Here is a 14939-nt window from a genome sequence, read left to right as displayed (position 1 = left end):
TAGGTGAGGAAACAGAGGTGCAGAGTGGTCAGGCAGCCTGCTCAAGGTGACCTCGTGGGTAGGTGGCAGATCCCGGTCTCACTCCCAGCCTTCCCACTGCAGGCACTGGCTCTTCTCAGTTGCCTGGGGTCTTCATTGTTACTTTGGGTCTAACCACTGTCTTCTCATGCACTGGCCTCCCATCTGGCCTTCAAGAAGGCCTTCAGCTCCTTGCAGATGGAGGCTGAGTCTTAATGCCTTCTCTCTTCGTTCTCTTCTCCCCTGAGCATCTAGAACAAACTAGACCCACAAAAAATCTTCACTCTTGCTGTGGTCCTATGGCTAAGGACGCGGTCTATCTGCGAGCTTGCTGCTGCCTGAGATGGGTTCCTGATTCTCTCCTTTGGCTCCATGGCCTCTGCATACCCCTGAGCAGCCACCATCCTCTATCTGTGGAGGTCCCAACCATCCCTACAGTTACTGGTTTGCCTGTGACAAATATGGGACTGGCACTTCAGCAGGGAAAAGCAGCAGCAGGAGTTGATCAATTCCTAAGCAACGAAGATCCTGTTTTCATGCAAACGTCCTCGGCATTAAAACAAAAACAAATTCCTCACGGGGCGCGTCCTGGATGCCAAGTTTCATCGTAAGACACATTTTTAAAGCAAGGTTTTGTGCCTGTGTGAGAGACTAACAGGGAATGTGGGAGAGCCCCAGGCCAAGTGCTGTCTCCATATAGATACGCCCTCATTTAGGCCTCATGGCCACCCCTCAAGCTAGCCACAGACAGAGCCTAATCTGAGGGGCGAGAAACTAGGCAGAGAGGGAGGAGGGAGCGGGTCCAGCATCGATCAGCTCTCAAATGGCAGCAAAGGGAGGTGACCGGGTCTGATTGAGACTACGCTGTGTCCAACACAGACATGGGGATGAAACATGGTCATATTCGCCTTGCAGACACGAGGGGTATGAATGTGAAGATTTCAGATGACTATAGGCAAAATGGTTGTTTTTTTTTTTTTAATTTTCCTTAGTGTGCTTTTCTCAACCCCAAATAAAGAGAAGGATGTTGCCTGGGCGCCAACTCTCTCTTTACAAAAACCCAGTCCGACTGTAAATCTGGATGAAATGTTAGAATTGACCCAATGCCCTGCAGCATTTGACGCTTACAGAGTGCTCAGGAGAGTCCCTGACTCACTTGGCTCTAAACATAGTCCTGGATTCCTTGCCTCCGAAGCCAAGAGCAAATAAAAAGGGGGTGATGATGAGAAATCTTATGAGGCAAGCCAGGACCTTTAGGTTGAATGATAACAAGTGCCCTGAGCTTTGAAGAGGTGGGAACACTGAGGGCTGAGCAATCTGGGAAGGCCTCCTGGAGGAGGGAGACATGCTGATTCCACTCAAGGATCTCATAATAGACAGCTTTGGCCTGATCCTAGAGGAGTGGGGTGCCCACCAACACCAGCATCACCAGGCCATTGCCAGGGTCACCAGGCCTGCCCAGCAGTTACAGGAAAGTGTCCACAGGCCATCTAGCCTCCAGCTGGCTCCTGTAGCTTTGTCTTGTAGGATAATGGGTGTCCAAAGGCAGCACAATGATGGGTCAGGGGCAGGGCCACACAGTTCACTTCTGGCAAGAGGCAGTAATCACAGAACTGTGGTATTTTAGTGTGCAGGATCATCTGGCACTGTCCCCTTACTGCTGATGCCTTGCCCAAGGTTCATAGTGCAGCCAAGACTTCAGTTCAAACCTTTTTCTTCCTGGCCCTCTGAAACCCTCTTTGCAGCCCCCTTTTCCCATGCTGAGGAGGTAGTGTGCCCAGCAGTGCCTTGTGGGCCTGGGGTTGGGCAATACAGAGAGCATAACATCTGGTTGCAGCCTCTTCAAGTTGGCCTGGTAAGCTCCCCAATGCATTCCTCTTCCTAGTGCCTCATACGGCAACTGATCCTGAGTGGGCAAAGGTCTGGTGCTGGGCACAGTGAGTGGGCAGGTGGGGCAGGATAAAAGGGCCTGTAAAGGGGACTTGTGGGAGCTAAGAGTGATAAGAATCGCTAAGGAGGGTGTGGAAAGCACGCGGGCATTGTGTGCAGAAGACCTGGACTGGAATCTAACACTGTGAGTACTCCCCAGGATCCGTGTTCCTCTCTTTAGCCCAGGCATGCAGTTACATTACATTTTCCAACCTTCCTTGCAGTTAGCTACGATCACGTGACTGCATTCTGGCCAGTGGAATGTGTGTGGAAGTGATGTGGGCCAATTCCAGGCCTGGCCTATAAAAATCCCCCACTTTTTGTTCTCTTTCTCCATCCACCATCTGCATGGAGAGCTCCCAGCACTAGAGGGAGAAAAAGCCACCAGAGGGAAGGAGCCTGGGTCCCTGAATCACTGTGTAGACTACCTGCCAAACATACACCCTGAATTGTTATGGCAATAACAAATAAACTCCTAATGTGTTAAGCCATTTAAATTCTGGGGTTGTTACAGCTGTTAGCCCAGTCTGACTAACATAGCCTCTTAAGAGGCTTTGGATAAGTTTCCTAGCCTCCCTGAGCTTCAGTTTCCTCATCTCTAAAATGATAATTGGAAAAACCTTTCTGAAAATGACTGAGCTAATATTTGTAAAGGCTGCATATGACTTTTGTAAGCCCTAGGCACTTTCGTTTTGTAGGTGCCTTCCTCTATTAAAAAAAAAAGAATAACTAAATAAAAATGAGGCTTTACAACTGTATCAGTATAAAGATGGACATAAGACAGATTCATTATTGAGAATCACTTGAACCCAGGAGGCGGAGGTTGCAGTGAGCCAAGATTGCTCCACTGCACTCCAGCCTGGCGACAGAGCAAGACTCTGTCTCAAAAAAAAAAAAAAAAAAGATAGATTCATTATTATGTTTATTATTACAGGCATACTTTGGAGCTATTGAGACTTCAGTTCCAGACCACTGCAATAAAGCAAGTATCACAATAAAGTGAGTCACATGAATTTTTTGATTTCCTAGTGCAGTAAGTTATGTTTACACTGTACTATAGTCTAATAAGCAACAGCAGTACACATAAAAAAAATGCACACCCTTCATTTGAAATACTTCACTGTTAAAAAATGCTAATAATCATCTGCCCCTTTAGCCTTTTGATGGTGGAAGGTCTTGCCTTATTGGTGATGGTTGCTAACTGATCAGAGTGGTGGTTGCTGAAGGCTGGAGTGGCTATGGCAATCTCCCTTTTTTTTTTTTTTTTTTTGAGACGGAGTCTTGCTCTGTCGCCCAGGCTGGAGTGTGGTGGCGTGATCTTGGCTCACTGCAACCTCCGCCTCCTGGGTTCAAGTGATTTTCCTGCCTCAGCCTCCCTAGTAGCTGGGACTGCAGGTGTGCGCCACCACACCTGGCTAATTTTTGTATTTTCAGTAGAGACGAGGTTTCACCAGGCTGGTCTTGAACACCTAACCTCAGGTGTTCCGTCCACCTCAGCTTCCTGAAGCGCTGGGATTACAGGGCATGAGCCACCACGCCCGGCCGGCAATTTTTAAAAATAAGACAACAACAAAGTTTGCTGCATCGATTGACTCTTTAACAAAAGCTTTCTCTGTAGCATGCGATGCTGTTTGATAGCATCTTACCCACAGTAGAACTTCTTTCAAAATTGGAGTCAATCCTCTTAAACCCTGCGGCAGCTTTATCAACTAAGTTTAAGTCATAGTCTAAATCCTTTGTTGTCATTTCAATAATGTTCACAGCATCTTCACCAGGAGTGGATTCCATCTCAAGAAACCACTTTCTTTGCTTATTCATAAGAAGCAAATCTTCATTTGTTCAACTTTATCATGAGATTGCAGCAGTTCATTCACATCTTCAGGCTCCACTTCTAATTCTAGTTCTCTTGCTATAAAACACAGTTATCTGTGAAGCGTGATACAGTGAAGTGCAATAAAATGAGGTATGCCTGTATTTATTATTTTTATATTTGATTTTATATTCATTATTCTTATATTCACTTTTTTCCTTCTGATTTTAAGAGCAATAAAAATGAGCATTTTCTGGGCCCATCAAAGTATCACAGACTCTAGGCACTGTGCCTATTGTACCTAACGGAGAAGCCGACCCTGCCCACTGCAGTGCCTGGCCCGTGGTACGTACAATAAATGGGAACTATTAAGATTTGTATAAAAATAATAACAGAAAGACAGGTCTGAAACAGCAACAAATGATTATGAACCCCTTTCATATACCTCATTTCCTCCAACCCTCACATCCACTGTTAAGATGCTCATCATCTATATTTTCTGATGGAAAAACGAGACTCAAGGAGATTAAGTTGTGGGCTCAAGAAAGGCAGGAACATCTAACACTCAGTGCCTATGTTGGGCACAATGCTCCACACCTGTCTTACTTTATCACTGCTAATTTTCCCAGACCTAGGATGAGGTAGGGATTATGTTTTTATCCCCATTTATGATTAAAAAAACAAACCGATGCCAGGGACCAGTGGCTGAGCTGAGAACTAAACCCACTTCTACTGGGTACCCCAACTAATGCTAACTCTACCACCTGGTCTTTCCATTTATCAATAGCTGTGTCAGGAGAATTGAGAGATGGCAGTGTCTACAGAGGGTGCCAGACACCCCAATACCTCCTTTCATGAGCTAGAGAAGAACCTGCTCAGGGCTGAAATCCAAACACATCATGCCAGATTAAACTTGTGCTTTCTCATTCTCCACCCAAATGTACTCCTTGGAAGGTTTAATTATAGTGACTTCTATTTTCTTGTAAATAATCACATCTGTCATAACTGATCTAACTAATCCAAGGCTCCAAGTTGGCAGTCTTGGTGGCCTGAGCCAATGTGTCAATTATGCCAAGTAGGCTGTGAGCAAAAGTTGCGTGAAATGGAAGAGAGAAAAATAATCACAGTCATATAGATGGTGAGGACCAATATGTGCTTTTTCACAACAGTAATATCAACATGAACTCCTAAATGTGGCCAGTGGGTGTCAACCCTTCAGCAATCCAACAGTGAAACAGATGCAGCCAGCCAGTTCCCGGAGAATAAAAACAATCTTTTTAGTAGAGAGCCAATCCTAGCAACTGGCTTACTTAATATTTTTTGAGTCTAAGTAGATACCCCAGGAAGCTGCCTTGGCTCTTTATGCATGTGGGCTTTCATGATCTGTTGCCTCTGGGAGTTGCAAAGGCTATATTCAGAGTGCAGCTGTTCAGCCAGTGTAGATTAGTAGTGCGAACTTTGGGTCTGGATTGGGGTTCCAGTCTTCTCTCTCTGTGAAATTTATCAGTAGTATGACTAAGCAAATCATTTAGGCTTCACCAATTCATCTCAGCTTTCTCATCTATAAAATGGGGACAAGAATGTCTACCACCCAGAATCCTTGGAGGACTGAATGATGTAATGACCGTATGTGATAGTCTGTTGGAGAGAATAAGCACTACATAAATGCCAGTCATCATCATAATTAGCAGATTAGCATATACAGGTTAAGCATCCCTAATAAAAAATCTGACATTCAAAATGCTTTAAAATCCAAAACTTTTGAGCCCTGACATGATGCTCAAAGGAAATCCTGAGTGGAGCATTCCATTTTTTGGATCTTTGCATTAGAAATGCTCAACAGGGATGTATTCAGCAAATATCCCAAAATTAAAAAAAAATCAAAATCTGAAACACTTCTGGTCCCAACCATGTTGGATAAGAGATATTCAACCTGTACTGAGTCCTGTTTTCAATCCATGGGATGACTTCTTTCTCTACTCAAATAACAGCAAGTGGAAACACTCATGCTCTGTGTCAGAGAGGGGATAAGACATGGCATCTACTTGGCGACTTCTTTCATGGGAGATGTCTGAAAGTCATCATGCCAGTCAAGCTCTGAAAGTCTTTGTGTCTGATGGGAAGCTATAAGGGAGGTGCGTCTTTCAGGTCACAACATAGGAAACTGAAAGGCGGCTCTGATGCATTCCCCAGACACCCATGGGAAATGGACACATGCTCTTGGCTATGACTTTCAGAGTAACCTTGGGCATGTTAGATCATCTTTCTTGCTTCAGTTTCCTCAACTGTAAAATGAGGGTAGCAACAGTACCTACTTCTTTTTTTTCTTTTTTTTTTTTTTTTGAGACAGAGTTTCACTCTTGTTGCCCAGGCTGGAGTACAGTGGCGTGATCTTGGCTCACCACAACCTCCGCCTCCCAGGTTCAAGTGATTCTCCTGCCTCAGCCTCCCGAGTAGCTGGAATTACAGGCATGTGCCGCCACGTCCGGCTAACTTTTGTATTTTTAGTAGAGATGGGGTTTCTCCATGTTGGTCAGGCTGGTCATGAACTCTTGACCTCAGGTGAACCGCCTGCCTTGGCCTCCCAAAGTGCTGGGATTACAGGCGGGAGCCACTGCGCCTGGCCCAGTACCTACTTCTTAGAGTAGTGGTAAAGAATACTTAAACTATCACACTTCACCAGCTTACAACAGGGCCAGGCACATGGGAAGCAATCAGTTGGTATCAGTATTTACTATGACTGATGCCACCGCCATGTCACCAGTCAATGGCCTTCCTTCCCTCCTCCAGGATTTACTAACATACATGTTTAATGTGTTAGCCTTTCTCAGGTTTTCCATGTTAAACCTCTTCCTAGGAAGGAAATACTGTAGTTAACATAGAAGATCTGGGCAGCAAAGCACAGTGTTAAGAGCTCCAGGATCTAATCTGAATCTTCAAGAGAGGCCCAGAGTCACCTCCTTCAAAAGAAGTTCATTTCTGGAGCAGAGACATGAGAGAAAGGGTTCTGGACCAAGAATCAGGGAACCCGAACCCTAGCTCCGTGCCATTTTTCCCACTCTGTGGCCTTGGGCAAGTTGCTTCCCTACTCTGGGTATGAATTTTCTCAGCTGTAAAATAAAGGGGGCTTTTGGCAATGTATCTCAGTGCATTCACGTAAAGAAAGGGATAATAAGAACAACAACTATCACAGAGTTGCTACGGGGTGTGAACCACATAACACATCACTCTGAAAGGCATGAGGTCTTGACCGTGGCCCATAAGGCTCTTTTCCATCTGGCTCCCACATCTCCAGAATGCATGGCCTTTTCTGCTGCACACATCGGACTCCTCGCTTTTCTCACACCCCTCAGGCACGCTCCTGCCTTAGGGTCTTTGCACCAGCTGTCGCTCTGCCTGGAATGCTCTTTCCCCAGAAAGCCCCATGGCTCACTCCTCCACTTCCCTCGAGTCTAAGGTTACTATTGTTTTTCTATAACAATGACCGCTTTCTAGCATAGTCTATGATTTCCTTACTTATCATGATTATTGCTTACTGTCTGTCTCTCCTCAGTCCAAAAATGTAAGTTCCATGAGAGAAGGAATCTCTTTCTGTTTTGAACCCAAGAGCCTGAGAAGAGAACCAGGTACAAAACAGGTGATCAATAGATAGTTGGTGATTTATTGAATGAATGCATGAAGAGCACTGATACACAAAGTGAGTGCTTATTAAATTCTTGGCAACTTTCTTAAATGTGAAAGGGGGATTCTTACCTCTCACACATTTTCCTTCCACGAGAAAGGGTCTTTACGTAAACGCTCTGGACCTATTACCATCCCACCTTCCTTCTCTTCCCCCCTGAAAGTGGACTAAAGGCCTGATTGGCAGGTGACAGCCACTCACGGACCATTTCTCAACTCAGTTACTCTCCTGCAAACATCACAGATGGGATTTCTCTTTCTGTTCTGTCTGCCCCTATCAGAGGGCGGCAGTGGCCTTGGCCCTGGGTAAGTGTGTCTGGTTTCCAGGCTCCCAGTTCCCCTTGTCTGGTTCTTCCATGGCGTGGATGCAGGGCAGGGAGCATTAGAAAGACCATAAAGCCAGTGAACCTGCATCATATTCTCTAGTCTGGTTCTATCAGTAACAAAGTAGATATTTTATTTTATTTTATTATTTTTTGAGACAGGGTCTCGCTCTGTCACCCAGGCTGGAGTGCAGTGGTGCAGTCTCAGCTCACTGCAGCCTCGACCTCCTGGGCTCACGCAATTTTCCCACCTCAGCCTCCCTAGTAGCTGGGACCACAGGCCATGTGCCACTACGCCCAGCTATTTTTGTATTTTTTTGTAGTGATAGGGTTTCGCCATGTTGCCCAGGCTGGTCTCGAACTCCTGAGCTCAGGCAATCCACCCACCTCAGCCTCCCAAAGTGCCGGGATTACAGGTATAAGCCACTGCACTCAGCCCAAAGTGGATATTTTGATTTCCACCTGTTCAACATCTCTGTCTGTCTCCACTGATTCTGAACCTGGTCAGGTAACAGGGCTCTGCCATTTACTGACCCCTAAAACTCTAACATCAAACATTCCCAATTTTAAAAAGTAAAACTTTCGGTACCCTGGGTCCAGGTTGTCTATAATCCCAGCCACTCCCTTTTGACATGCTAGTCTAGTGGGTGCAGCGCACCAGCATGGCACATGTATACATATGTAACTAACCTGCACAATGTGCACACGTACCCTAAAACTTAAAGTATAATAATAAAAAAAAAAAAGACATGCTAGTCTGTGGATATTCCATTTCACATACAACACTCCTTGGAGTGCCCATTTTGATGGGCACGACTCTGCAGTGAGGTTTGTGACACCAGGGGAGAGGAGCTGCTACTGGCTGGACACCATTCTGCTACCGATGCTGTTAATAAAAAATGTATACACATCCTGCCCCTCACTGCTGGCCCTTCCAGGACCTGCCGTCCACAGAGACTCACCCACGCAGGACGTGACACCTCAGGGCCGCGTTTCCTGCTCATGTGGGACTTGATGCTGTTCTCTGAATTGCTGCATTTGCTCCATTCTTCTTGTCTGCTGAGATCTTTCAGGAAGCTGTATCTATCATCCAACATGTTCACTATTGTTCCCAGCTTCACGTTATCTCTGACCACAGTGAAATGATAGTGACCACTTGCTGAATGTGTACAAGATCTCAGGTACTGGGCCAAGCATTCTCCCTACATTGTTGCATTTAATACTCAAAACAAGCCAAGGAAGCAGGTGTTACTACCCCCCATTTTACAGAAAAGGAAACTGACGTTTATAGAGATGAAGGGCATTTATGTGTCACTGCAGCTCATAAGTGGCTGTGCCAGTTCTTAAGCCTGCACACTGGACGGCCTCTAGGGCTGGCACTTAGGTCTTCATTTATGCCATTTATTAAGCTCTTACTCTTTGCCAAACATTGTGCACAATGCTGGATTTACATGATTTCTTAAGAGGCTTTAAAAATATATATATATTTTTAGCAGACAGATACATGCCCATGGTCAAGAAATCAAGCACTATAGGGGCTTATAATGAAAACCATCATCTTCTAATGAAAAGTAGCCCTCCACCCCCCCTACCCAATCCCCAGAGTCACCCTTTTCTAACTCCTTCTGAAAACTCATAGAGACCTCTCTAACTACAGGATTTCTTGTAAGCTTCAAACAATTTGAATGATATAGATACAATGATAATCTCCCTTTACAGATGAAGAAATGGCAGCAGAGTGGCCTAACGTCACATAGCTGGCATGGGGCAAAGCCATGATTCGAACTCACTTCTGCCTCTGTCGAGGTCCTGCTCTTACACTTCAGGCCCCACGCGTGACAAGTGGGGCAAGGGTGTGGTTCGGGTCCCCTCAGGCACATTGGTTTCTCGGTTGCTTGTTGTCTAAAAGCACTCACAGTGGGCATAACTAAATACCAGCGTGGGATTATGCAGAAGTGAGTTTTCTTTCCCCTGTGAGGTTAGTTTCCAATTCCTCTTTCTTTTTTTTTCCTTTCTCTCTTTTTTTTTGTTCTTTTGAGATGGAGTTTCACTCTGTTGCCCAGGCTGGAGTGCAGTGGTGCAACCTCAGCTCACTGCAACCTCCGCCTCCCAGGTTCAAGCGACTCTCCTGCCTCAGCCTCCCCAGTAGCTGGGATTACAGGCGCCTACCACCACGCCTGGCTAATTTTTTTGTATTTTTAGTAGAGATGGCATTTTGCCATTTTGGCCAGGCTGGTCTTGAACTCCTGTCCTCACGTGATCCACCCACCTCGGCCTCCCAAAGTGCTGGGATTACAGGCATGAGCCACTGTACCTGGACCCAACTCCTCTTTCTAGTGTCTTCAGGTTTGTCCTTCTCCAGCCACTGCAGACATCTCCCATCTCTCTGTTATGATGTAACTGCCAACATCACTTCAGGGGCTGAGTCTCCCGGGCCCTTCCATTCCTTTCCAAGAACCTCACAGCTTCTGGTCTCTCTTCCTGTTAGATGGAACTGATGGCATTTATCACCATCTCTGTTAGGAGGTTGCAAAAAAGACCAATCCCTTCCAGCTTCAGCTTTTATAAAAAAATGAGTCTCCCTTTGTTTTGTGACTATAGCTATTACTGGAGAAAAACTGCATGCAGCACAAAATGAAACAACATTGACAATATTTGTTAATTGTCTAGCTAGCGCTTTGGAGCTCCAACTCAAACTAGTCAGGTTCAAATCTTGGTAAGGGCATTCACTTACTATTTTTGGTAATCTGACAGGTCACTCTCCTCTCTGTAATGGATTCCTCAGCTGTAAATCTGGAAGGAGTGTGGTGAGAATTATGGATTATAAATAATGAATTACATGGGTTAACCATTGTGCTTTGAACGCTCCTGACCACAGCCAGTGCTCTATATGCTATTATTACTTACTATTTGATATGGTTTGACTGTGTCCCCACCCAAATCTCAACTTGAATTGTAGTTTCCATAATTCCCACATCACGGGAGGGACCTGGTGGGAGGTAACTGAATCATGGGAGCGGTTACCCCCATGCTGCTATTCTAGTGATAATGAGTGAATTCTCATGAGATCTGATGGTTTTATAAGGGGCTTTTCCCCCTTTTGCTTGGCACTTCTTCCTGCCATCATGTGAAGAAGGATGTGTTTGCTTCCCCTTCCACCCATGATTGTACGTTTCCTGAGGCCTCCCAAGCCATGCTAAACTGTGAGTCAATTAAACCTCTTTCCTTTATAAATTACCCAGTCTTGGATATGTCTTTATTAGCAGCATGAGAATGGGCTAAGACACTAGTATTGCTGTTGTTTAAAACCCTGAAGTTGACCTGAGGCATACATATATATAAATCTGGTGCTCACATCTAAGTGGAGTCAAGACTGAAATGATCACTAATCTCTTAAAAGTATTTAAAGGCGTAATTATTAGCCCCATCTTATATATGAGGAGATAAACTGAAAAAAGGTAAGTGACCTGCCCAAGGTGACGGGATGGTTCAGAGTTAGAAGCAGGCACTAAGGCCATTTGAACTCTCCCAATAACAAGGCTGGGTGACCTTGGACAAGTTGCAATATCTCTCTCTGAGCCTCATTTGTAAAATAAAAGGGGTAAAGCTGAGATCTCACCTCTACCATTCTCTAATAAAGAGGGAGTAAGCACAGCAGTTAAGAGACAGTGTCTAGAGTTAGGGGTCTTCCACTTACCACCTGGGTGGCCTTGAGCAAATTACTTCTTCTCCCAGTGCCTCGGTTTGCTTATCTGCAAAATGGGTCTAATGGCAGTATCCACCCGAGAAGGTGGTTACATATCTCAGGAGAAGGCCTGGCACATAAAAGCACACAGTAAGCGTCAGTTCCTATTCCTGATTTGTATGCGGCCAGCCTGGCCTCCAACACCCTTGGTCAGTCCTAAGCCCTTTGCTCACCACCCACCACAGTCTCACTCCTGACCCAGTGCTCAGGGCATAACACGTGTTTTCCACAAATCCCTGGTTAGGTGGGTCGCAGGCAGAGTGTTAAATTCTCCATCTAAAGTAAAAGGCTATTTCCAAGTGCCTAACACTTCAATTTGAAAGGAAAACTCTATTTTTCTATTTCTACCTGTAACGCTGATGACACTGTTTTTGCTTTTCTTCCCATGCAGTCTGGAAATCCTGAATAAATGTCAAAAAGAGTTCCCTGAGTCAACAAATATGTAATATTATTAAAACTGTTAGGAATGAACCATTTCCTCCATTACCAGAAGCTTAAAAGGATAATATTTTCAATTTCATTTTTCAATAAATACATTATTCAGGGCCCAAGTGATGTTGATATAATTTGTGGTTAATAGGTCAATGGTTCATTCATTCAATTGGAAAATACCTGCGCCTGCCCAGTAGGAGCCAGGCATTGTCCCAGGCTTCGATGATCCAACAACGACAACAGCAGCAGCAGCTGCAGCAAAAATAGCAGCTCCCACTCACCAAGGGCCCCTTCCACTGTCCACCCTTCTCCACACTGTGGACTGTCTGAGTGCACATCCTCGCCCTCCACCCTCTACCAGTGAGCTCTACCAGTGGGACGAACTGGCATGAGATCAGAGGGTCTAAGGATGGGAGGTCTGGTTATCTATCCCCACTCCCCTTCCCCTATCATCAGACCTAGAGAAAATTACTTAATCTTTCTGTGCCTCAGGCTTCCCATCTGTGAAATGGGGCAAACAGTTTTACTCCATAAATGAGGGTGATGTGGGTTACCATGCTTAGAACAATGCCTGGCCATAATTGGCACAAGGTAAATGTCAGCCATGTAAAATGACTATTCTTCAGTGTCAAATGGGACAGTCACTCTCCTACAACTACACCTCACTTGAGTTCCAATGGCCACCCTTCGTCTTGACCTTAAGGCCTAGGGGAGGTCGGACTTTCAGCTGTTGTGAGCCCGGTGCTTCCCTTTCCGTTGTTGGCTTTGCTTAACCCTGTACTCTTCTCTGTAATCAGGCCCTCCATTTACTCAGTCCTTGCTACTCTGTGTGTACCATCTCTTTGCTACGACCCTAACTCTGGTGCCTGCACACACCGTGTTCTGGGCAGCGTTCATGAGTTTTCTGTAATGCATACAAACTGACCCGGGCAGATGCATCCCTTTTCTGGATTATAAAACTTGTGATGACTTTCTCAGCTCTCAGGTTTCTTCTTGCTTTTCTAGTGGCTCTATTGGGTAGGGGCCAAGAAACTCCACAAATGCCCCTGTAAAGGAAGTCTTATTGGGTCCATTTCTACAGATAGAAAAACTGAGGCACACAGTTCAACCTAAGCCCCACAATTAGGAAGTAGTTAAGCTGAGTTTCAGATTCAGGCTGAGCTTTCATTCCCAGGCCTTACTTTAATGCCATCGAAAGTGACTCATTCATCCTTGATTTCCTGAAAGCTTGCAGGTAAGTAAAAAGGCAATTATAGTCATGTGTGTGCGTGATGATTAATCTGATAGGAATAAGAACAGGAAACTGTGCAAAGGCCAAGCTCACCTGGGAACTAGTGATGAGAATGGGAGTTAGAGAAGGCTTCCCAGAGGAGGTGATATTAACCAGACTCAAGAAAGATGGGGCACTATTCTGGCAACAAGGTAGAGGAACTGGAATATGCAAAGGTTTAGAGGGAAGAGGGAAAGAGAGAAGGACTTTTTTTTCCAGGACCTACAAGCAGTTCAAAAATCCCAGAGCAGAGAACTCGAGGCAGGGGACAGGGAGGAGTAATGACAGAGTTGAGTCTGGGTCCTAGTGATGAGGAGCCACAACTGCTGGGCTGAGGAGACACAACTTAGAAATTTCGATGTCAATGTTTGTAGAGATGATGCCTATACAGGGCTGCTCTGGCAATCTACCCACGACAGCCAGCTCTATTAGGACAGAAGCTCTTATGTTTCATTTTGAACTTTTAAACCTGGCATGGAGCTTGTATACAACAGGTGCTCCATAAGTGGGACTGACGACTTTTAAAAAAGAAAGATCTTCATGAGGTGTTCCTTTGAGTCCGTAGTAGATGCTGTGGGGCTGGCCCATGTCCCCCTGTTCTTCCCACCTCAGTGCACATTGGCCTTACTTCTAACTGTCGGTACCTGTGTTTCCTTGCTGGGGTGGGGGGTCACTCAGATTTCGAGTGGCCACTTTGTTCCCTACATGCCAGGCCTGAAGTATGGGAGAATGACGCCCCTTCAGGGAGCAGCCCATGGCCAGTGACTGATGGGAGTTGGTGGATAGGTTCCATGCCCGTCTCAATACTCAGGTGGAACAGCACTGAGGCGTGTGATTTGTGCTGGCACCCAGAGCTCCCCACCTGCTTGACAATGCTCTATTTCCTGGCTTCCTTCTCTCCAGGTCCCACTTGCTGCCCCACCCCCACCCCCACCCAGCGCTTCCTTTGCTTCTCACATAAACTATTTGCACTTGAAGCTTTGCCTTGGGGTGTGCATCTGGGGGACCCAAACTAAGACAGCCTGATTCTTAGTGTCACAGAATGAAAGAGTTTAGATGAAGGGACTTCAGAGGTAACCTTCCAGGGGCAGGAACACACACTGAGTCTACAGCTGGGGGATGGCTGGGGCTGGTTTTATGCTATGCACGTATTCAGGCAACAGAGTGGCCGCTGTGTGCACAAGGGAATCCATGGCCCTGTGTTCTAGTTTCAGCTCCAGACACGGCATTGTATGTTGGAAAGAAAACAGGCTTTTGAGTGAGACAGACCTGGGTTTGAGTCCCGGCTGGGCTACAGATGGGCAGGTAACCCCAAGGGAGTTAGGTGACCTCCCAGAACCTCAGTTGCCTCAGCTGGGAAATGGTGCAGGGTTGTGATGATGTTCAAGTGTGAAAATGCAAGTAAAACACCTCACTGGGAGACACTGGGCTCCTTTCTTGTGTCTTTTCAGGCACTGCTTATTCTATGTCCTAGCTGCTTTTTGCATACCTCCGGCCTAGCAATTCTTTCACTACATGGGCCACCTTGTGCACCTGCCTATGTGCCTCCCAGGAGACTGGAGACTCCCAGAAGATAGGAGCCAGGTTTTCCTTATCCTTGCCTCCCCAGCATTCAGCACCACACCAGGCATTTACCAAGCACTTAATGAATGTTTGTTGAATGAATGACTGAATAAATGGGGCCGGGCGTGGTGGCTTACGTCTGTAATCCGGGCACTTTGGGATGCCGAG

The 14939-nt window shown here is 45.9% G+C and overlaps 1 protein-coding gene across 18 annotated transcripts in view, besides 1 other annotated feature; it reads right to left on the bottom strand.

Moving 5' to 3' along the window:
• The window catches only part of ZHX2 (zinc fingers and homeoboxes 2), a 194132-nt gene that overhangs the window by 155214 nt on the left and 23979 nt on the right, over nt 1-14939 (bottom strand). For 3 of the 18 annotated variants that reach the window (NM_001412808.1, XM_047421590.1, NM_001412810.1), the window contains exons 2-3: nt 11459-11576; nt 10496-10554 (exon numbers count right to left, since the gene is read on the bottom strand). The exons of the other annotated variants lie outside the window; for them this stretch is intronic. The gene's annotated coding sequence lies outside the window, so the exon portion shown is untranslated. The remainder of the gene's footprint in view (nt 1-10495; nt 10555-11458; nt 11577-14939) is intronic. 18 annotated transcript variants of the gene reach the window in all.
• Nucleotides 12535-13734: an enhancer, noted in NCBI's record as "P300/CBP strongly-dependent group 1 enhancer chr8:123817802-123819001 (GRCh37/hg19 assembly coordinates)". NCBI's record gives its function as "activates an origin of replication core promoter dependent on BRD2, BRD4, P300/CBP, MED14 and CDK7 cofactors, with strong dependence on P300/CBP, by STARR-seq in HCT116 cells {active_cell/tissue: HCT116}" and the evidence as "EXISTENCE:reporter gene assay evidence [ECO:0000049][PMID:35650434]".

The sequence above is a fragment of the Homo sapiens genome, chromosome 8 (assembly GCF_000001405.40).
Source record: "Homo sapiens chromosome 8, GRCh38.p14 Primary Assembly".
In the NCBI taxonomy this organism is placed as follows: Eukaryota; Metazoa; Chordata; class Mammalia; order Primates; family Hominidae; genus Homo; species Homo sapiens.
The sequence above is the reverse complement of the archived record's forward strand: the minus strand, read 5'-3'. Positions and strand labels throughout refer to the sequence as shown.